This window comes from Homo sapiens, chromosome 6, assembly GCF_000001405.40.
Source record: "Homo sapiens chromosome 6, GRCh38.p14 Primary Assembly".
In the NCBI taxonomy this organism is placed as follows: Eukaryota; Metazoa; Chordata; class Mammalia; order Primates; family Hominidae; genus Homo; species Homo sapiens.
The window spans coordinates 139,624,348-139,648,297 of record NC_000006.12 but is presented as its reverse complement, the minus strand read 5'-3'; the positions used below and the strand labels follow the sequence as shown (position 1 = coordinate 139,648,297).

Below are 23,950 nucleotides of genomic sequence, written 5' to 3'. Positions count from 1 at the left end.
TATGCCTGTCTCTTAGTTCACAGATTAGTGTATGCATTTGCTAAAACTGCTATACCAAATTGCCATAAATTGGGTGGCTTAAACAACAAAAATATATAGTCTCACAGTTCTGGAAGCAACAAGTCCAGATCGAGGTGTCAGCAGGGTTGTTTTTTCCTGAGAACTGGGAGGGAGAATCTGTCCCATGCCTCTCTCCTTGCTTCCGGTGGTTTGCTGGCAATCTTTGACATTCTTGGCTTCTAGAGGCATCACCCCGAGCTCTGCCTTCATCTTCACATGGCATTTTCTGCGTATCTGATTCTTTGCGTGGCATTCTTTCTGTAAGAATGCCAGTGGGATTAGGGGCTCACCCAACTCCAGTATTGCTTCATCTTGAATTATAACTGCAATGACCTGATTTCCAAATAAAGTCATATTCCAAGATACTGGAGGTGAGGACTTCAACATATAAATTTTGAGGGAACACAATTCAACCCATAACAATCAGGTTCCATGTTTAATTCATTTCATACTTGACATGTACTACACTGCCAAGTCTTCGCCTGAAATCCAAGGCCCTCAAAAATATACATTTAATTGGCTTAAATTAAATATCTCTTCCACTTTCAGTATAGATGCAGGCCAAATTGAGTGTATGAGTTAAATTTTTCTTTCTCAGAGGTAGCACCATTAGGAAACCAGAAAAGCTCTGAAAACAGAAAAGTCTCTGATCTCAAGAGACTTATTCTATTTTATGGTTTCTTGATGGTGCTACCTCTTAGAAAACGAGTGTGGCAAATACTACAGTGGTGTGAGCCCAGGGTATAGTGGGAAGCCAGAGGCCATAAAGATTGAGCTGGATCTTCAAAGGTAAGATTGGTCCCCTCCTATGTGCCAGATAATGGGCTGGATGTACATTTAGTCTCCTAAATGTGACGATGTACATCCAGCCCATTATCTGGCACATAGGAGGGGACCAACCTTTTGTTTTGACTCCCTTGGCCGAACTCTTGAAGAATGAGGCCCATGAAACTTAAATCACATTCATTCTGCAGATCCCTGCAAAGACAGATTTCCTGCTCCTCCTTCAGTTCACTTTATCCTCTAATGGAATTCAAGAATGATGCAATGTAGATGTGAACAGGGCACAAGACTCTCTTAAAGAGGCTCACAGTCTGGTGGGAAAATGACTGTGGCAAATATTACAATGGCATGAGCCCAGGGTACAGTGGAAAGCCAGAGGACATAAAGAGTGAGCTAGATCTTCAAAGGTAAGGAACGGGGAGCCAGGTGAGGAGGTGGGCAAAGATTTTCCAGACAGTAGGCATAGCATTACAGAATTCCAGAGGTCAGAGAGCAGCAAGTCATACCAGTGTCTTAATCCATTTGGGCCACTATAACAAAAATATCATAGACCGGGTGGCTTAAATGACAAATATTTGCTTCTCAAAGTTCTAGAGGCTGGGAAGGTCAAGATCAAGGTGTCAACAAATTCAGTGTCTGTTGAGGGCCCTCTTCCTGTTTCATAGAAGGCCCAGGATTTTATTGCCACATTCCCACATGGCTGAAGGGGTGAGAGAGCTCTCTGGAGTGTCTCTTATAAGGGCACTAATCTCATTCATGGGGATTTCACCCTCATGACTTAATCAGTCTCAAAGGCTCTGTCTCCTAATACATCACCACAGGGTTGGTGTTAGGATTTGGGGGCGTGATTATAAATATTCAGTCCGTAACACCCACTGTGCTGTATGAGTACAGCCCTAAGAGTTTGGGGTCAGATCAAGGGTATCAGGCAAGTTGCGCTAAGCAGCTTGGACTTTAGGCAAAAACTGAAGGGTTTTGAGCACTGGACTAGCACTGCCAGATTTGTGATTTAGAAAGATCACAGATGGCCAGGTGCTGTGGCTCACACCTGTAATCCCAGCACGTTGGAAGGCCGAGGTGGGTGGATCACGAGGTCAAGAGATCGAGATCATCTTGGCCAACATGGTGAAACCCCATTTCTACTAAAAATACAAAAATTAGCTGGGCGTGGTGGCGCGTGCCTATAGTCCCAGCTACTCGGGAGGCTGAGGCAGGAGAATTGCTGGAACCTGGGAGGTGGAGGTGGCAGTGTGCTGAGACCGCACCATTGCACTCCAGCCTGTCTCAAAAAAAAAAAAAAAAAAGGAAAAGAAAAAGAAAGATCACAGACTCCAACAATAATTTATGGATCAAAGGATATCAGTTAGGAACATATGGTGCAACCCAGAAGAGAAAGAGTCACAGGGACTTGTGCTGAAGATACACAGTAGAGACAGAGAGAATCAAGACAGGCTGTGGACACTCTCTAAGCTCCACTGAGATCCCCTGTCATCCTTGGTAACATCTTCTGTGTGCCATCCTCCAGCTGCACTTTTGCTTGCATGCCCACATCCACCTCACACCTGCAACTTTCCTTTGGCGAACACTTCTTGGCATTGGAGTGCCTTGCTCACAGGCATAAAAAAGCCCAAAGTGCCTACAAGTTCACTTTCTACACACCACCCCCACCACCACTAACCCCTCAAATCCCACAGCCTTTAGACAGAGTTTATAAAATATAAAATCTTAAAGCCCAGTTGCTTTGATCATGCTTGGGACAAATCCCAAGGCCCCAGTTACATTCCAGTATTTTCCATGGGCTCAGGCTGAAGCTACTCTCTGGGACATGCTGCCTGAAACTGCACCCTTCCCTGTCTTGCTTCCCTCACTCCTTTCCCAGGTTCTCCTGGAAGCACTTCCTTCACAAATCACTTACACACGAAGCCTTCCCCTGAGATGTCCTTCAGATGAACCTGTACTAAGACAGGAGATTGAGAGCTATTGAAAAAACTGGAGGTGTCCAGAGCTTAGTAAGTGACTGGATGTGGGAAGCTATATTATTAACTAAAAGAAAAAATATTCAGTGAAACTCAAACTATGTTTACAAACAAGTATGCAAGAACTAAAAGGACAAATACTACTCAAGTAGAAAGTTAATTTCATAAGTCCAATTTTTACTGTTCCTTTGACTCTGAGGGAAGAAAGAGTTTTTGCACCATTCAATTGCTCCAGCTTTGTTACTCTAAATTTAGGACACAAATAGGGTGCTGTGGAAATCCATCTTTCTTTAGAAGAATTTTAATATAATAGCCTTTGTATCAAGTAGCTAAGAATGGATTGGAATCCCAGCCAGATCCCCCGGCTGCTTCCTCACTGCCTGCCTCTTGCAATCCCCCCTCCCTTCCTTGTGTTCCCTGGGTCTTCTCCAAATGTCTCAGATTCTTCACGCCCCAGGAATGGGCCTGCACAATGTTCTGCACTGACTGTTTTCATTCTGGTCACCCCCCTCCCCTGACTGTCCTGAGCAATGTTCTTTCTGTCCTTTTTGTCTTTTTTAAATATGTGAGTGAACAAATGTGGGACACGTGGTAACATTCTAGGAAGCCTGAGCTCGCGAGGTAGGACTCTAAAGCACCGAGAAGGATGCTTGTTGTTACTGGTGGATTAAGCCTCAGATTCTGTAAACATATCTTAAGCATACATAGTTTACGATTGCAATCAAATAAAACTTACTGCAAAGGTAATGTGATACAAATGTAATGACAAGTATAATAAGTATTAGTTTGCTATGTGTTAATCTAAGCAAGTCATATAAATGCCATTCAATACTTTTTACATAGGCAGCGTAAATATGTCATTTTTATGCTCCTTTTAGAGAGACTGTAATCAGTATTCAGGCAAATCAACAATTCCCCAATCACACACAATTTAAACAACAAAGTTCCTAAATTTTACTCCTCAGTAATTATCATCCACCTACATTTGAGGGCCTATTTTATGCCGAGCACTGTGCTAGGTGCTGTAGACACAAGGAAAATGACAACATCGTCTCCGTCATCAAGCAATCTGGGTTCTCACTCCCAGCCCCTGCACCTGGGACTAAACATTTCTGGGTTCCACTCCTACTCTCCCAGTTCTTTCATCGCCAGACTTTGCCCTTCATCAGAACATTTCCTTGCACAGTAGCTCATGGTCTCTGTCCCCCAACTCCAGCCTCAGGCCCCAAGACTATAGAAACTGTGGCTCATATCCCCACAGCTTATCTGCTAGGTAAGGCAGGGTGCCAGCAGAACTGTTACTGCAGTGATCTTAGGATAGAGCACATACAAAAAAAAGAAACATGGCACGGTGAAAGGGCCTCAGACAATTAGGGGTGGAAAGTACACAGGAGATGGGGCAGGGCTATGAGAATAGCGAAGAGCAGGCACGGGACAGAGAGGGGCAGCTTGTCCTCTCTTAACATGGCTGTCCCTCTGGGCCCAGGAGCCGTCCTCACTGGGAAGGGATTAGGAGGGTTCTTCCTTCTGAGCAGAACTGAAAGGAATCCAGCAGTGAGGGCAGAGATGATAAAACAAATAATAGTGTGTACTAGGAGCTTGCTAAGCCCCAAATCCATTATTTTGTTTAATCTTCAGAAGCACTCTGAAGAGTTGCTACTGCTGTTTAGCAGATGAGAAACCCAAGATTTAAAAACATGACCAAAATCAAGAAACAAGTAAGTGGCAAAACAAGGGTTAATTCAAACTTCAAACTCAAAGTTCTTTTTTTTTTTTTTTTTTTTTTTTTTGAGACGGAGTTTTGCTCTTGTTGCCCAGGCTAGAGTGCAATGTCACGATCTCAGCTCACCACAACTTCCACCTCTGGAGTTCAAGTGATTCTCCTGCCTCAGCCTCCCAAGTAGCTGGGATTACAGGCATGCACCACCATGCCCGGCTAATTCTTGTATTTTTAGTAGAGACGGGGTTTCTCCATGTTGGTCAGGCTGGTCTCGAACTTCCGACCTCATGAGATCCGCCCAACTCGGCTTCCCAAAGTGCTGGAATTACAGGTGTAAGCCACTGCACCCGGCCCAAGCCCAAAGTTCTTAACTGCTTCATTCTACTGTCTCGGTGAAAGACACCCAGATCTTGCTGGGGATCTTGCTTAAACTTACACCAAACCATAGTACGATTTTAGACACACAGATATGACACCCTTCCTTATCACTTGCTTTCAGGTTCTTATAATACAATTAAAGAAAGAATATTTTATATAAAAGAAGTTAAGGAGAAGTAAAGCTTCAATGTGAATGAGATTTGCTCTAAATATAAATGCTGAGAGGAAAGGTCATTGAAAACAGGAGGGATGAAAAGAAGTCAGAAAGCAGATCAGCAACGCCAAAGACATGTAAGTTTCTGAGCTGACCCTTTTACCAAGGCCGGTGTTACTTATATGCGGCCAAACACAGGCAATCACAGGCTGGATCCATGGGTTCTTCATGCTTCATCTGGGCTCCTGGGCCTCAAGCCCTGGTGCAGAGCCCCTGCCGAGGAACTTGGCTTTAGACATTGGGGTAGGCATTAGGCATAGGGAGGGTTTCCCAAAGAAGAGAAGAAAATCCACCTTTTTCCTTTTTACCATGTTAAGACTTGCTCTAGGGAGAGGCTCTAAAGAAAAAAATGAGGCTGAGATCTGAATTTCCAAATAATTAGTCCCAAATTCTTTACCTCTCGTGCTGAGAAATAGAGATGGTGACTTGGATTTCACTTACCTCCATCCCTTTAGGTTAGAAAGGTTCAAAATATTGCCCTCAGTTAAGTCACTGACCTGTTTCATGGATAGCAGATGGACACTAATTCAAAAATTCAACTAAAATTTTTGGCTCAGTTCTTGTGCCTCCCTTACAAGGTCTTCAATCCCTCATCCTGGTGAATTTATCAGGATCCAGCACATTGCTGGGAATCTAGCCAGCTCAGATGTATGAATTGTCAGCACATCTCTTTTAGGAACTACTCACATTTACCAAGCTTATGGGATAGACACATAAACCTGATGCCAATTTATTATGCGTGATGGGCAATGATCATCACTGGGACTGAAGGACTTCAGGTTCATAGGTACATTTCTCATGGCGGGAGAAATGTGTGCCAAATCACATTGCAAAGTTTGCTTGGTGGCCTGGAAATCAGAACAAAGAGACTTCAAGAAGCAGATAATTGCATGAGGTTGAGATGACCAGATGCAACCATTCCACAGCAGAGTGGTATGTTGGTGGACCCTTCCAGGATGCACGGTCCTCGGATGTGTAGACAGGCACCGGTAAGGTTGCATCCAAAACTCTTCTTTTCTACTTTCATGGTTGACCAATGCTTTTAGTTGTATTTTTTGCCCCTGATATATGATAATACATTTTATTCATTTCAATCAAATCTTGTAAACCTAGGAGCCACTTTATCTTACTTAGATAACTTCCTTTCTCAGTTTTTATCTATCATTTGTTTATCTTAAAAGTAAATTTTCTGATAATCTTATTTTGCTCTTAGAGGAATCCTTTCCACCCTTGTAGAAAAACCCCCATGTAAACCCTTATACACTAGCAACACTATGCATTTTAATATCATTGGTGAACAGAAAGAATACGAAAGGCAGAATATTAAGACCAAATAACTTTTCCTGGGAAACAAAGAATTCAATACTGGTAGAATATATCTATACTTTATTGCTCATTCATTTACTCACTTGTCATTCCGCAGGCATCTATTATGAACCTAATATTGGCTACACATGTTGTAGACACAAGGAAATAGAAATGAACAAGACAGACAAAGTCTCTGCTTCCATGGACCTTAAATTCAAGTGAGAGGCAGGGAGACAGACCGCAAACAAAACAAAATGAAGTAAAATAGGAGGAAGTGGCAAGTGCTCTGATAAAAATAAAACATGTTATGGAGTGATTGGGTAGGGTGGTCAGAAGAGTCCTCTCTGAGGGAATGATGTATAAACTGAGCCCTACATAGCAAGGTGGAAATAGCTATATGTGAATCATGGAAAACAGCATTCCATACAAAGGATACATCTGGTGCAAGCCATACGTCTATCTATTATGCTAAACATCTTCCACTTGTGAGAATTTCTATAGGCAGAAATTGCATTATAGATATTCTCTAGAACATTGAGAAGTTAGAGCCTGAATTTTAGATGCCTGTTGAGTCTGGATATCTGGATATAGTTTCCATCCCTGGAAACTATAAATGTTGAGACAAAGCAATTTTGGCAACTTTCCCATGTTATTCACCAATCATTATATATGATACATGATGAAGATGGTAAAAGAGAAGTTCATATTCTTTGGCTGTTTTCCTGTTGTTAAACTCCTCCCTCCTCCACCAATAGCCTTAAAAGCTCGGCACGAAGCCAAATCAGTTCCAATGCGTCTACCAAAGTGTCGATATTGACCATTGATTCTCTCACACATGCATTTAATTTTCTGAACAAGGAGAGACTTGCTTGATTGGATTTTTGTTCTTTCATTAACTCTTGGTCCTCACAACAGTACCAAAAAGGAGCAAAAGCTATCAAGTTTTGGTGCCATGCTTCAATAGATATTCCATATCCAGATTCTAGCCTCCGGATTTTAATAACTGGGGTCACGCTGAGTTCTCATTTCTCACATAAAATTGCAGGAGACAAGGAAGAAAAACAAATACTAGGAAAACAGAGTAGATACATTTTTAGTGCTCTGAGTTTTTTATGTCAATAATATCTAGTATCGAGCTAAAAGCAGCCCTTGTGAGAGGAAAGGGAGTGAGTATTTTGTCATGGTCAGTCCACATAGTAACAATGTCTTAGCCTGTGGTTTGTGGGTTTCCTTTGGTGTATTCTGTGTCTCTAGATACTTCGCTGTTGTTTCCTAATTTAAAACTCAACATCTTAAAATGCTCTATGTTTTCCTACTAAGTGTAAGAAAATACTTCAAATGTTCTAGTTTAATACCAATTTGTTATTTAAAAAAATTCAAACTGATAGTTTAGATGCTTATTTCACAAACATCCAACATCTTCATCAATCATAGTCACTTTTTTAGGACATTGTTACTGTCATATTAAAGTGTGATGGAATTCACCAGACACAAACCTCTCCAAGTATCTACAAGAGTGATATTCTGATGGGAATTAGCCACCACCATTAGAATGATTGAACCATTCTAAGATTCTATGTTACCAGATAATAGGCCATAAACCTCCAAGTTCTTCTGTACACTCACCTTTTTTTTTTTTTTTTTTTTTTGAGACAGAGTTTCACTCTTGTTGCCCAAGCTGGAGTGCAGTGGCACTATCTCGGCCCACTGCAACCTCCGCCTCCTGGGTTCAAGTGATTCCCCTGCCTCAGCCTCCCGAGTAACTGGGATTACAGGCGTGCACCACCACGCCTGGCTAATTTTTTGTATTTTTAGTAGAAACAGGTTTCACCATGTTAGTCAGGCTGATCTCGAACTCCTGACCGCAGGTGATCCACCCGCCTCGGCCTCCCAAAGTGCTGGGATTACAGGCATGAGCCACCACGCACTGCCACTCATCCTTTACTTCTACATAACAAGATGTAGTTTTGTTTACTCTTCATTAGAGCTTCAACCATAGTGAACTGAAATTTTGCTGGGCCTACACTTGTATTTGCATCAGTTATATAAGTCATCCTTCCCTACTTATGTGCCTCTCTGACTCCTTCTTGAACAGCTAAAGTGTGATAAGCAGCGGCAAAGCCTTTCTAAATCTACTCTGGAGTACTTAAAACTGGACTTTATATAAGAAGTAACAATGTCTTCATCATTCTTTCCGAGAACTTCACAGGAAATTTAAAATTCCTCTTGCGTAACATTGAAATAATCAGACTGTCACTTCAGTCGGGTAATTCAATTTTGTATTTAGCAATTAAATAAAAATATTTAAACGTAAAATTTACAAACACACATGCTTGGTCAAATGGACTTTATCTGAATCTTCAATAATTAAGTTGCTTTATAAAATATCCAGATTTTCAGCCTAGGAAAAGATACAAGCATTTCAAGACTAGAGAATTGTGAGAGCAATAGAAATATTTATAAATAAATGTTAAAAGTGAATATCCAAATTAGAAAATTAGAAATTCAGGCATCAATTTAAAGTATCTATCTAAATTGACAAGGCCTCACTCTGTAGCCCAGGCTGGAGTGCAGTGCCACAACTGTAGCCCACTGCAGCCTCAAACTCCTGGGCTTAAGTGATCCTCCTGCCTCAGCCTCCTGAGTAACTAGGACTACAGATGCACACCACCATACTCAGCCAATTTTAAAATTTTTTTTATAGAAATGGAGTCTTGCCATGTTGACCAAGCTGGTCTAAAACTCTTGGCCTCGAGCAGTCTTCCTATCTTGGCCTCCCAAAGTGCTGGGAATACAGGTATGAGCCACCACACCCAGGCATCTCCTTTTTAGAAATTTTAAAACTAGAATATTGCATTAGCTTTCCTGTGCTTCAACTGATTTACTAAGACCTTGGAGAAGTCCGTTTTCTTCAGAGGCAACTTATTTCCATTTATGAAACAGGAATGGGAAATAGCTGTAAACAGATCTGTCCATAAAGCTCTGAAATTACTTCAAATGAAGGAGTCACATAATCAGAAAACCCCCCTAGTGGTGTTGTTTTTATTAGGTGACCCCAGAGAAGCACTTTTAATGACTACAATTCAATCTCCTGTTAGACACTGGAAGATACTGTCAACACAAACGAGTATTGAACTCCAGTCTGGGCAGGCCTATCTCATTCGTTGCCAGGTTATCAGAGCATTTCTCAAGGAAGTGCGTTGACTCTTTCAAGGGAAGTGATATATTGAATGGGAACTTAGTAACCCATGTGAGTAAGTATACACTTTCAGGCGCCTCAGCAAATAAGAAAAACACTGGGCCACTGAAGGCAACTTGTGTCTGATCCTGTATTCTTGACTTTGACATCATGCTACCTGCTGTGGTTCCTGAGTAGGCTTTTCACCAAAACTCTTCTGGCTTCTCCCCTGAGAGTGGCTCAAAATGCTTAAATGTGTGAAGGCTCTTTATCTACCCCAGCCCTACCTTTATCTACCCAGCCCCTCCTTCTGGAGTTCATTTTCCCCTGCACAGAAGGTTGACAATCAAACTGTCCAATTTGTGGAACAAACAGGTTTTCTTATTTGATAAATAAAGCTCATTCTGATTTATACGTCCAATACATTATTGTGTTCTCAGTATATATGGACTTGCCACAGGTTAACAAACACTGATTGAGCATCTCCCATATGCTAAGCATTTACCATCTTAGAGTAAGGTTGTCTCCTTATGATGCCTCCATGTAACACTTTATATCTTTCAAGTAGAATTTAGATTTTTCTGCCTTATCCACCAAGTGTTGTGGTAAACAGAATTCTAACATAACCCACAGACCCTCATTGTCATATGATCCTTTCTTCTTGAGCATGGAAAGAACCTATAAATACTGTGGGATGTCAGTCCCATGATTAGGTCACATTTTTTGTCATAGTGTCATAAACCTAACCTGGCATAATCAGTGAGATCTTAAAATGGACAGGGTTCTTCCTAGTAAAAGGAATTCAGAGTTTCAGAGCAATTCTCCATTGCTGGCTCTGAAGAGGGAAGAAGAACATGGCAAAGATGTGAGTGGCTTCTAGGAGCTGAGAACAGCCCCAAAAGTCAGCAAGAAATAGGGACTTCAGTCCTACATTGCATGGAACTGAGTGAGCTTGGAAGAGGACCCAAATCCCCAGATAAGAATCCAGCTCAGGCCAAGCACAGTGGCTCACACCCTGATATGGTTTAGCTGTGTCCCCATCCAAATCTCATTTTGAATTGTAGCTCCCATAATTCCCATGTGTCATGGGAGGAACCCAGTGGGAAATAATTCAATCATGGGAACAGGTCTTTCCTATGCTCTTTCCATGATAGTGAGTAAGTCTCAAGAGATCTGATGGTTTTATAAAGCCCTTACACAGGCTATCTTGCCTGCCACCATGTAAAACATCCCTTTGCACACAGAAAAAGCACCTTCATAAGATCCTAAAATCAAGTGAGCACTCATAGTAGCTGATTTTAACTTCATATGACTGAAGAAAAACACTGGAAGAGTGAAGGAAAGACAGTCTTGAATTACCAATGCTACCTCTCCCCCATCCCACAGCAGTGACTGCATGGCACAAAGAGAGAATCTGTGCAGTTAAGAAAGGGAGAGTAAAGCAGCTGTGAAACATTGCATTGAATTCAGTACTGCCCTGTCACAGCAGAAAGCAAATCTGGGCTCAACTCAACCGATGCTCGCCCACCTAGGGTGTATATAAATCAGCCCTAGCCACAGTGGAATTGTTCATCCTAGAAGTCAGAACTTGAGTTCTGGCAAGTCTTGCCACCACAGGCTAAAGTGTCCTGGGGCTCTAAATAAACTGGAAAGGCAGTCGAGGACACAAGGACTACAACTCCTAGGCAAGTCCTAGTGTTAAACTGAACTCACAGACAGTGGACTTGGGGGGCACATGACCTACTAAAACATCATCTGGGCTAGCTAAGGGAGTGCTTGAGCCATCTCTCTCCCAACCCCAGGCAGTGTAGCTCACAGCAATGAAAGCGACCCCTTCCTTCTGCTTAAGGAGAGGAGAGTGAAGAGTAAGGAGGGCTTTGTCTTGCATTTTGGATACCACCTCAGCCACAGTAGCATAGGACACCATTCTGAGCCATAAGGCCCTCCTTCCAGGCCCTAGCTCCCAGACAACATTTCTAGACACACTCTGGGCCAGAAGGAAATCCACTACCTTGAAGGGAAGGACCCAGTCCTGGTAGGACAGATCACCTACTGACTAAAAAGCCCTTGGGCCCTGAATAACCAGCAGTGACTCCCAGGTAGTATGCTGTGGGCCTTGAGTGAGACTCTGAAACTTGCTGGCTTTGTGTGACACTCAGCACATTCCCAGCTGTGGGAGCTACAGGAAGAGTCTCCTGCTTGAGAAACGTGGAAGGAAAAGTAAGGGGACTTTGTCTTGCACCTTAGGTACCAACTTAGCAATAGAGGGTTAGAGCAACTTGCAGGCTCTTGGAGTCCCCACTTCCAGGCCTTGGCTCTTGGACAGCATTTCTGGACCTGCCCTGGGCCAGAGAGGAGCCCACTGCCCAAAAGGGTGATTCCCAGACCAGGCAGCATTCACCAGAAGCTGACTGAAGAATCCTTGGGCCTAAAGGGAATATTGCCAGTAGTCTGGCAGTACTCCCTGTGGGCCTGTGGTGATTATGACCACAGGGTGAGGCTCCTCTACCTGTGGAAAGGGGAGAAAAAAGTGAGGACTGCATCTTGTTGTTTGAGTGCCAGCTCAGTTGCAGAACAAAAAGAACACCAGGTAGACTTCTATGATTTTTAACTCCAGTAGCTCGCACCCGAGCAGCACCTCCGGACCCACCTGGGCTCAGGGAGAACTTGCCTCCCCAAAGGGAAGGAAACAGGCCTGGCTGGATTTGCCAGCTGTTGACTGTAGAGCCCCAGGGCCTTGAGTGAACGTAGGCGGTAGGCACGTAGTGGTTACAGCAGGCCTGGAGCAAGACCCAGTGCTATGCTAGCTGCTAGCTTCAGATCTGACCCAGTGCAGTCCCAGTGCTGGTGGCCACAGGGTTGCTTGTGTCACCCCATCCCTAGCTCCATACAGCTCAGAAGAGAGAGAGACACCATTTGTTTGGAGGAAGTAAAGGAAGAGAACAAGAGTCTTTGTCTGATAATCCAGAGATTTCTTCCAGATCTTATTCAACACCATCAAGATGGTACCTCTATGTATCTGCCAGAACCACAACATTGCTGAATTTAAGGTATTCCCTAATGCAGATATGGCTTCGATTACAACACCCAAGTCCTTTTGAATACCTGGAAAGCCTTCCAAGGAAGGACAGGTACAAACAAGCCTAGACTGCAAAGATTACAATAAATACCCCATTCTTCAATGCCCAGACAAAGGTGAACATCTACCAGTATCAAGACAATCCACGATAACATGGCCTCACCAAATGAACTAAATAAGGCACCAGGGACCAATCCTGGAAAAATAGAGATATGTGACCTTTCAGACAGATAATTCAAAATAGTTACTTTGAAGAAATTCAAAGAAATTCAAGATAACACAGAGAAGGAGCTCAGAATTCTAGGAGATAAATTTAACAAATAAAACAATTAAAAAGAATCAAGCAAAAACTCTGAAGTTGAAAAATGCAACTGACATATGAAGAATGCAGTAGTCTCTTAACAGCATAGTTGATCAAGCAGAATAAAGAATTAGTGAGCTTGAAGACAGGCTATTTAAAAATACAGTCAGAGGAGACAAAAGAAAAAATAATAAACAAACAATGGAGCATGCCTACAGGATCTAGAAAATATCCTCAAAACGGCAAATTTAAAAGTTGTTGGCCTTAGGCAGGGTGCAGTGGCTCATGTCTGTAATCCCAGCTACTTGGAGGCTGAGGCAGGAGAATCGCTTGAACCCGGGAGGCGGAGGCTGCAATGAGTCAAGATTGTGCCACTGCACTCCAGCCTGTGCAACACAGAGAGTCTTTCTCAAAAAACAGAAAAAAAAAAAAAAAAAAGGGTTGTTGGCCTTAAAGAGAAGGGAAGGTAGAAAAAGAGATGGGGTAAAATGTTTATTCGTAGAGAAAATAACAAAGAATGTCCCAAACCTAGAGAAAGGTATCAATATCCAAGCATGAGAAGGTTATAGAACACCAAGCAGATTTAACCCAAGGAAGACTACCTTAGGTATTTAATAATCAAACTTCCAAAGGTTAAGGATAAAGAAAGGATCCTAAAAGGAGCAAGGGAAAACAAACAAATAAGCTTATAAAAAGGAGCTCCAATATATCTGGCAGCAGACTTCTCAGTGGAAGCCTTACAGGCTAGGAGAGAGTGGCATGACATATTTATTTATTTATTTATTCATTCATTCATTCATTTATTTATTTGAGACGGAGTCTTGCTCTGTCACCCAGGTGGGAGTGCAGTTGCGCGATCTCAGCTCACTCCAAGCTCTGCCTCCTGGGTTCACTCCATTCTCCTGCCTCAGCCTCCCGAGTAGCTGGTACTACTGGCGCCTGCCACCACGCCTGGCTAATTTTTTGTATTTTTAGTAGAGATGGGGCTTCACCGTGTTAGCCAGGATGGTCTCAATCTCCTGACCCCGTGATCCGCCCACCTCAGCCTCCCAAAGTGCTGGGATTACAGGTGTGAGCCACTGTGCCCAGCGACATGACATATTTAAAATGCTGAAGGAAAAAAATTTTTACCCTAGAATAGTATATCCAGCAAAAATATCTTTCAAACATGAAGGAGAAATAAAGACTTTCCCAGACAAACAAAAGCCTAAGGATTTCATGAACACCTGACCTGTCCTACAAGAAATGCTAAAGAGTTATTCAATCTGAAAGAAAGACATTAATGATCAGTAACAAATCATCTGAAAGTGCAACACTCACTGGTAATAGTAAGTGCACAAACACAGAGTACTATAACACTGTAACTGTGTGGTGTAAACTACTCTTATCTTGAATAGAAAGATTAAACAATGGGCCAGTCAAAAATAATAACTTTTCAAGATATAGCCAGTACTATAAAATATAAAAGAAACAAGAAAAAGTTAAAAAGTGTGGGGGATGAAGTTAAGGCGTAGAGTTTTGTGTATTAGTTTTCCTTTGCCTGTTTGTTTATGCAAACAGTATTAAGTTGCTATCAGCTTAAAATAATGGGTTATAAGATAGTATTTGCAAGCCTCATGATAACCTCAAATCAAAAAAAATACTACAGATGCATAGAAAATAAAAAGCAAGACATTAAATCATACTACCAGAGAAAATCACCATCACTGAAAGAAAGATGGAAGGAAGGAAGGGAGGGAGGGAGGGAGGGAGGAAGAACCAAAAAACACCCAGAAAACAAATTAAAAATGGCAGGAGTAAGTCCTTACTTATCAATAATAAGACTGAATGTAAATGGACTAAACTCTCCAATCAAAAGACATGGAGTAGCTGAATGAATTTAAAAAAAAAAAAGACCCAATAATCCATTGCCCACAAGAAACACACTTCCTCTATAAGCAAACACATGCACTGAAAATAAAGGCATGAAAAAAAGATATCCCATGGCAATGGAATCCAAAAAAGAGCAGGAGTAGCTATATTTATATTAGACAAAATAGATTGCAAGACAAAAACTATAAGAGGTGACAAAAGTCATTATCATAAAGGAGTCAACTCAGCAAGAAGATATAACAAAAATTTTAAAGATATATGCAACCAAAACTGGAGCTCCCAGATAAATAAAGCAAATGCTATTAGAGATGAAGAGAGAGATATGCCCCAATACAGTAATGGCTGACAACTTCAGCACCCCACTATCAGCATTGGACAGATCACCCAGACAGAAAAATCAACAAATAAACATTGGACTTAATCTACACTATAGACCAAATGGACCTAATAGATATTTACAGAACATTTTATCCAGTGGTTGCAGAATATACGTTCTTTTCCTCTGCACATGATCTTTGTCCAGGACAGACCACATGTTAGACAAATAAGTCTTCAAACATTCAAAAAACTTGAAATGATATCAGGACCTTCTCTGACCAAAATGGATTAAAACTAGAAATAAATAAAAAGAGAAATTTTGGAAACTGTATAAACACACAGAAACTAAACAATACACTCCTGAATGACCAGTGGGCCAATGAAGAAATTAAGATTGAAACTGAAAAATCTCTTGAAATAAATGATAATGGAAATGCAACACACCAAAACCTATGTGATACCACAAATGCAGTACAAAGAGGGAGGTTTATAGCTATACGTGCATACATCAAAGAAGAAGAAAAACTTCCACTAAACAACCTAGTGATGCATCTTAAACAGCTAGAAAAGCAGGAGCAAATCAAACCCAAAATTAATAGAAGAAAAGAAATAATAAAGATTAAAGCAGAAATAAATGAAGTTGGAATGAAATAAACAAAAAAGATCAATGGAACAAAAAGTTGGTTTTTTGAAAAGATAAATAAAATTGGCAAGCCTTTATCCTGTCTATGAAAGAGAGAAGACCCAAATAAATAAAATCAGAGATGAAAAAGGAGACATTACAATTGATACTGCAGAAATTCAAAGGATCTTTAGTAGTTATCATGAACAACTATATGCCAATAAATTGGAAAATCTAGAAGAAATGGATAAATTTCTAGACACATACAACCTACCAAGACTGAACCATAAAGAAATCCAAAACCTTAACAGACCATTCACAAGTCATAAGATTGAAGCCATAATAAAAAGTCCCTTAACAAGGAAAAGCCAGGACCCAATGGATTCATTGCTCTAGTCTATCAAACATTTAAAGAACTAATGCCAATCCTATTCAAAATATTATGAAAAATAGAGGAGGAGGGAATACTTCCAAACTTAATCTGTGAAGCTAGTATTGCCCTGATAACAAAACCAAAGACACATCAAAAAAAATAAAATTACAAGTCAATATCTCTTATGAACGTTAATGCAGAAATCCACAACAAAATACTAGCAAGCTGAATTCAACAACATATTAAAGTGATCATTCATTATGATCAAGTGGGATTTATCCCTGGGATGCAAAGATGGTTATACATATTCAAATCAATCAATGTGATACATTACATCAATAGAATGGACAAAAAAAATAATCATTTCAATTGATGCTGAAAAAAATTGACAATATTTAATATCCCTCATGATAAAAACTCCCAAAAAAACTGGGTATGGAAGGCATATACCTCCACATAACAAAAAGCCATTTACGACAGACCCATAGCTAGTATCATACTAAACGGGAAAAAACTGAAAGTCTTTCCTCTAAGATCTGGAACATGACAAGGATGCCCACTTTCACCACTGTTATTCAACATAGTACTGGAAATCCTAGCTAGAGCAATCAGGCACAAAAAATAAATAAAGGGCATCCAAACTGGAAAGGAAAAATTCAAATTATCCTTGTTTGCAGATGATATAATCTTATGCTTGGGAAAAACCTAAAAATTCTACCAAAAAACTATTAGAACTGATAAACAAATTCAGTAAAATTGCAGGATACAAAATCAACATACAAAAATCAGTAGCATTTCTATATGCCAAGAGAAAATAAACTTAAAAAGAAATCAAGAAAGGAATCCCATTTACAATAGGTACAAATAAAATAAAATAAAATGCCAAAGAAGTGAAAGATCTCTACAATGAAAGCTATAAAACATTGATGCAAAAAAAGAAGACACACAAAAAAAGGAAAGATATTCTATGTTCATGGATTGGAAGAATCAATATTGTTTAAATGTCCATACTACACAAAGTAATTTATACATTTAATGCAATCCCTATGAAAATACCAATGACATTCTTCACATAAATAGAAAAAGCAGTCCTAATATTTATACATAACCACAAAAGATCCAGAATAGCCAAAGCTATCCTAAGCAAACAGAAAAAAACTGGAGGAATCACATTACCTGACTTCAAATTATACTACAGAGCTATAGTAACCAAAACAGTACAGTGCTTGCATAAAAACAAGACACACGGATTAGTGGAACAGAATAGAGAACCCAGAAATATATTCATACATCTACAGTGAACTCCTTTTTTTTTTTTTTTTTGAGACGGAGTTTTGCTCCTGTTGCCCGAGCTGGAGTGCACTGGCGCGATCTTGGCTCACTGTAACCTCTTGTCTCCCGGGTTCAAGCGATTCTCCTGCTTCAGCCTCCCAAGTAGCTGGGATTACAGGAACCCACCACCATGCCCAGCTAATTTTTGTATTTTCAGAAGAGATGGAGTTTCACCATGTTGGCCAGGCTGGTCTCAAGCTCCTGACCTCGTGATCCGCCTGCCTCGGCCTTCCAAAGTGCGGGGATTACAGGCGTGAGCCACCGCGCCCGGCCCAGTGAACTCATATTTGACAAAGGTACTAAGAACACACATTGGGAAAGGACAGTCTTCAATAAATGATGCTGGAAATTAGATATCTATATGCAGAAGAATGAAACTATTTCCCTACCTCTCTCCATATACAAAAATCAAATCAGAGTGGATTAAAGACTTAAATGTAAGACCTAAAACTATGAAACTACTACAAGAAAACATTGGGGAAAACGTCTAAGACATTAGATTTGGCAAAGATTTCTTGAGCAATACTCCATAAGCACAAGCAACCAAAGCAAAAATGGACAAATGGGATCACATCACATTAAAAAGCTTCTGCACAACAAAGTATACAATCAACAAAGTGAAGAGACAAACCCCAGAATGGGAGAAAATATTTTAAAATCACCCATCTGACAAGGAATTAATAACCAGAATATATAAAGAGCTCAAACAACTGTGTAGGAAAAAAATCTAATGATCCAATTAAAAATGGGCAAAAGATCTGAATAGTCATTGCTCAAAAGAACACATACAAATGGTAAACAAGTATATGAAAAGGGGCTCGACATCATTGATCATCAGAGAAATGCAAATCAAAACTACAATGAGATATCTCGCCCGAGTTAAAATGGCTTTTATCAAAAACACAGGCAATAATGAATGCTGGCTACGTTGTGGAGAAAAGGGAAACCTCATATACTGTTCATGGGAGTGTAAAATAGTACAACCACAATAGAGAACAACTCAGAGGCTCCTCAAAAAACTAAAAATAGAGCTATCTTATGATCCAGCAATCCCACTCCTCAGTATATACCCAAAAGAAAAGAAATCAGCGTATTAAAGAGATATATGCACTCCCATGTTTTTGCAACACTGTTCACATTAGTCAAGATTTGGAAACAACCTAAGTGTCCATCAACAGATGAATGGATAAATAAAATGTGGTACATATTCACAATAGAACACTACTCCAGCTGTAAAAGAATGAGATCCTGTCATTTGCAACAACACAGATGGAACTGGAGGTCATTATGTTAAGTGAAATAAGCCAAACGCAGAAAGACAGACTTCACATGTTCTCACTTATTTGTGTGAGCTAAAAATTTAAATAATTTAACTCATGGAGATAGAAAGTAGAAGGTTGCTTACTAGAGGCTGGGGAGGGTGGGGAGGAACTAGGGAGAGTTCACGGGTACAAAAATATAGTTATATAGAATGAATAAGACGTAGTATTTCCTTGCACAACAGGGTGACTATAGTCAAAAATAATTTAATTGTACATTTTTTAATAACTGAAAGAGTGTAATTGGATTGTTTGTAACACGAAGAGTAAATGCTTGAGGGAATGGATATACCATTCACCCTTATTTGGTTATTACTCATTGCATGCCTGTATCAAAATATCTCATGTAACCCATAAATACATACACCTCCTGTGCACCACCAAAAATTAAAAATAAAAATAATAAAGAAAAAAGAACTCAGCTCAACTAATACTTGAATGTGAGACCCTGAGCAGAGAACAAGGTTGAACCATGCCCAAACCTCTGAATTACAGAACTATAAGCTAATACATTTGTGTTGTTTTAAACCACTAAAGTTGTGGTAATTTGTAACAACAATAGAAAAGTAATATTAGTGCTTTATCCGAGTACTTGATGGTAAGCTATCTGAAAACCAAAGTTGTGTCTACTTCTGTATAATCTTTAGGTAACTTTGGAAATGAATGTTCCAGGTTGACCTCTCCAGTGAAAATACTTCCTGTGTTTCCTGAATTTCCCATTATACATAAAAGATATTAAATGAGTCCCGCTACTCATTACTTTTAGGACTGTGCTCTTTCTGGTTTCAGAGAGAGACACAGGTCAACATTTTCTAGAATAAAAGAGAAGAGGTCATTAGTGCAACCAAGTACCACATAAAAAAGAGGTAAAGTGCAAGGAATTGGAAGGTTTTGTGACGCTTTTATTTCTTCCCAATGATTGTTTTATTTGTTCATTCTGCCAGTTGTGACATTATATAGGAAGAACATCTAACAGAGTTTTCAAAGGCTTCAGAATTAATTGGATGTAAGAGTCAGCCAAGTGGAAGTCAGCCAGCATCAAAAAGGGGAAGAGCATTGCAAACTAAAGGAATATTTTGTGAACTATCTAGGGAAAGAAGAGAGCAGGCTTTTTGTCCAGTGTTTCTGTATAACTCAAGCAACTCCAGCATAGGAGGAGAGGGGGCAAGTCCTAGGACATGAGAAATACATAGGATCCAGGAGACTTTGATTTTTCCTCTGGTTCTAAGACTACCTTTTACTGTGGGGAGCCCAGAGGGCTGTCATCCAAAGACCAATGGGGTATGTATTCTGGTACCAGATAAGAGCTAATAAGCTTGAGTTCCTTATGAATGGGTGGTTAGTGCAGAAGATTTCTTGGGCTTTTGATGGCTTGAGGAAAATGCCTTAGTTGGGTTCAAACAGCATTGAGCGAAACCACCAAAAACCACTCCCAAATGAAGCCCTTTCATGACTGCCTTCTGATCTTGGCACAATTTACAGGGAATAAATGGATTTGGGTTCCCAAGATCTTCCCAAAGTGCAAGAGTAGGAATAAGTTCCAAGGTTCCCCAACCCTAGAAGAACAGGAACACGGAATAGAAGAGCCTTCTTTGTGTCCACTTCAATTACCCATTCATCCTATTGGATGAGGATATCAGGAGACTGTCTATAGATAGAAGACAAGTTAAAGTATGCTCACTCCCCCCATATAAATTCTTCTATTAGCCTGCCATGAATTTACCCAGCTGTGTGTAGTGGTCTCGGCATTTCCATTTTTCCTAAGGAAAATCTACAGTTTCACCAAAGAATAATTCTTATTTCTATGTTTACAGCAAGAGATAGCAATCATTCCTTCTTACAACAACTTGATTTTTTTTTTAGGGCAATTTAACTGCTCTTATCCCTCATAGAATAAAGCTGGCTTTTTCTGGGGATTCGATTTCTAAATCATGTTTTGTTCCTTGCCATGGTTATTGTGGAACAGGGCTGGGAAGGAGGGAGTTAAGGTGATTCGGGCAAAAACAAGGCAGAGGGTGGAAGAAAAAGAGGCTTTCTCTCCAGAGAGGTCTTTGACATGGAAATATGCCTCCTGAAGAGAATGGAAGGGGAGGAATCCTGCTGGTACAGGAGTTGAGGAAGGTGAGACCAAAAAACAAATGCCACATACCTCCTGAAAAACAAACAGTAAGGATGAAAGAATCAACTGTTGTGCTCATCAGCACCCCCTCAAAGGAGAGAGGAGGTGACAGGGCATGTGCTCTGCACCAAGTCCTTCAGAAAAGAGATTTGAGGCTACACTCTCAAATGACAGTCTCTCATACACAATTAGCACAGTGTAAAGCTTAGGTAAGTTGGATGTCTTACTTTTCACATTCAGCATGTGAATAAAAGGGGCCCTGAGAGGGGAAAAATAGACTTCTGTTATTTTATCAATGGTTAATCAGTGAAATTCTAGAGAGAGTTTCCCACACTTCGTTCCACCCCAGTTAGGATTTTCTTGCTTTGACCAGCACCTTGTCTCTCTCGTTCAAATTACACTGTGCCCTGCTGTTTCTTTGCTTCTTCAGAAGGCACCCAAATGTCAGTTGATGAACAAACACAGTCACCAGCCTGAGGTTTCCTCATCTCCTCTTGTGTAACTGTTAACTGCTACTTTTGTTGTCAGTTTTAAAGTCAGCTTTATAAAGAGAAAGCTATCAGGGCAAGTGCACAGGTCACTGGTCATAGAAAGGCAAGGAGAGGGAGAGCTTGGAACCTGACCCAACACGGTGGCACTATTGATTGAAAGTGTGTAGGATAGAACAGGATACATACTGAGGACAGATTCTTCCAGCACCCCCACCCTCCACCCAACACTTTCAGGAAAGGGGATATTTCGCCAAGTGTTGGGAGTTCAGCCCATCTTTCTTTTCTTGCCAAAGGGATGTTGGCAGGAAGCTGGGGGAGGAGTGGTTTCTGCAGGAAGCTGATTGACACATGGAAATGTGGGGAGGAAGCCTCCTCAACCTCTTCTTTTCTGCACTGGTTCCCTCACCCACACGCCAGGATCCTTGTTAGGAAAGGAGGAGGCTGCTACTCCATGCTTTCTGTGCAAAAGAAGAGGATACAATAGAAAGAAAAAGGGAACAGGCACTGCATTATTTCCCAGAGATCTCTGTGGAAGCTGCATCACTTAGCTGCTGTCATGGGTTGATATACTTCTTATTATGAAAATTAAAAATGACTTTCATTGATAGAAAAATGATAAATGCACACACACCCACACACTCACACACACACACACCCACACACACACACACACACACACGGAGCAAACCTCACATTCTCTTCCCATCAGAGATGGCCCTGATGAGACTTGGGTAAGCCTCCCTGTAAGCACATGTGTGATGTTTATGGTTAATTTGGTTTGGCTCACAAGGAAAACTCTTACTGTACATGATGTTTACTATATGCTTTTTGTACTTAACAGCATTTCTTGAACAAATTTTCATGCCAGGAAATATTCATCGATATTTACTTTTAAAAGACTGCATGTGAGTTCATCTCTTTTTGATGCTGGATAACTTCTCCTCAGCAGGGTTGAGACAATGGCATCAAAGGCATGTCTTAAACACCATCATTGCTTTTGCCTCTGCTGTTGACTTACCAGAGTCAAAAGTCTATGAAGGGTGAGAACTAAGGCAGGTCTCTGCTCTTTCAGCCAGCCTAGTGTCTACTGCTGAAGAGAGGACCCTGAAGCAGGAAGGTCCAGGGTGCACCGAGAAAGAGGTAGCAAGCTATGAGCCACAAGAACACCCACACTCTGTTCTTCCCTTAACTGTGCTTTGGCTATTCACAGGTGGTCTTTGCCATTCCATTGACACTTACCTATGGTTTCTTTCCTAGGTCCTAGATTATTACTAAAGCCCAAAGTAGATCAAGGTAAATATTCTACAGTTAGCTGTTGACTACCGATGTCTGTTATCATAACCTTCACATTTTCAATGTGGTCTAGACCATAGATAAGTCCACATGAAACTCAGACTGCACAGGAAACAGCAAAGGAGAATTGCTTACCGCCCTTTGTTTTCCTCTTTGCCTTGACCCTAATAATGAGAGCTGCCTCTTTGTTTTCTCTTGTTCAGCCTCATTCTGCCTCATACCTTTCTCCCAAGGTCTCCAGGGAGGGAACTTAAAGGAACACACAGAGCAACTAACCGGAGGAGGCCCTCCCGGTCCCCTGGCTGTTTCTGAGTGACTTTTGGAGGGGAGCTCCCTCTGTTCTGCAGTGATGGTTTAAGTAGTGAGGGTAGAGCAGAGGGAGGAAAGAAAATCCAGGCAGGGACTGGTGGAACTACGGTTCTAAATCTCAATTAATATGGCTTTTCCTGCCTCCCAAGGGTTAGGAAGGTTATATCTGCAAAATATATTTAAGTTATATTGCACAGTTATATCTGAAAAAAATATTTAAGTTACCATAGGTTAGGTGCTATGTAAGAAAGTAAAAACAAACAAGAAGTATACATATTTATTAGATAGATACATAGATAGATGACTGATAGATATAGAGAGATGATAGATACTATAGATAAAACTCAAGTTACAACTAAGTCTGACTACATAGCTCAAATAGCCTTCTTAAATTTTCAAGCTCCTTTTTAAAACTAATATATGTTGGGGCAACCTAATATATATCATCTCAAAGTCTGAGATACATTCCAGCAGAAATCACAAGAAATAAACAAAATGTAGTAAGTACTATGGTAACAACTTGATTTCTTGCTTTGCTTACTAAATGACAGAATTATGTTTAATAGGCAAATAGCTGAAAATAACTCCATAATAAATAATGACATAATTATATAGTAGAATAACTTTCAAACCCACTCCTTATTGTCTCTTGTTATCACTGCCTTACTAATATATTCTGGAGTGCTTACCGTTTGTTAGATGCAGATCTAATTTCTTTATACCTGTTAACTAATTTAATCCTTACAATTCTGTGAAATAACTCCCATTCCAATCCTTGATTTACAGAGGAGGAAGCTGAACCATGGAAAAATTAAGTAACTTCTCCCAAGGTTATGGCTCATCCGTGGCAAGTCAAGGTGTCTATTAATGCACAAGGTCATCCAGCTTCTATGGCTTCACTCGTA

At 40.5% G+C, this 23,950-nt stretch overlaps 3 annotated features.

Moving 5' to 3' along the window:
* Positions 7,633-7,732: a silencer, noted in NCBI's record as "silent region_17613". NCBI's record gives its function as "represses an Ori minimal core promoter by ATAC-STARR-seq in GM12878 lymphoblastoid cells {active_cell/tissue: GM12878}" and the evidence as "EXISTENCE:reporter gene assay evidence [ECO:0000049][PMID:35858748]".
* Positions 8,046-8,213: a silencer, noted in NCBI's record as "fragment chr6:139961222-139961389 (GRCh37/hg19 assembly coordinates)". NCBI's record gives its function as "represses an EF-1alpha promoter that drives an FKBP-Casp9 reporter gene in an ReSE screen in K562 erythroleukemia cells {active_cell/tissue: K562}" and the evidence as "EXISTENCE:reporter gene assay evidence [ECO:0000049][PMID:32094911]".
* Positions 22,441-23,104: a transcriptional cis regulatory region, noted in NCBI's record as "candidate enhancer chr6.4971 targeted for multiplex CRISPR interference". NCBI's record gives its function as "positively regulates CITED2 gene expression in K562 cells {active_cell/tissue: K562}" and the evidence as "EXISTENCE:mutant phenotype evidence [ECO:0000015][PMID:30612741]".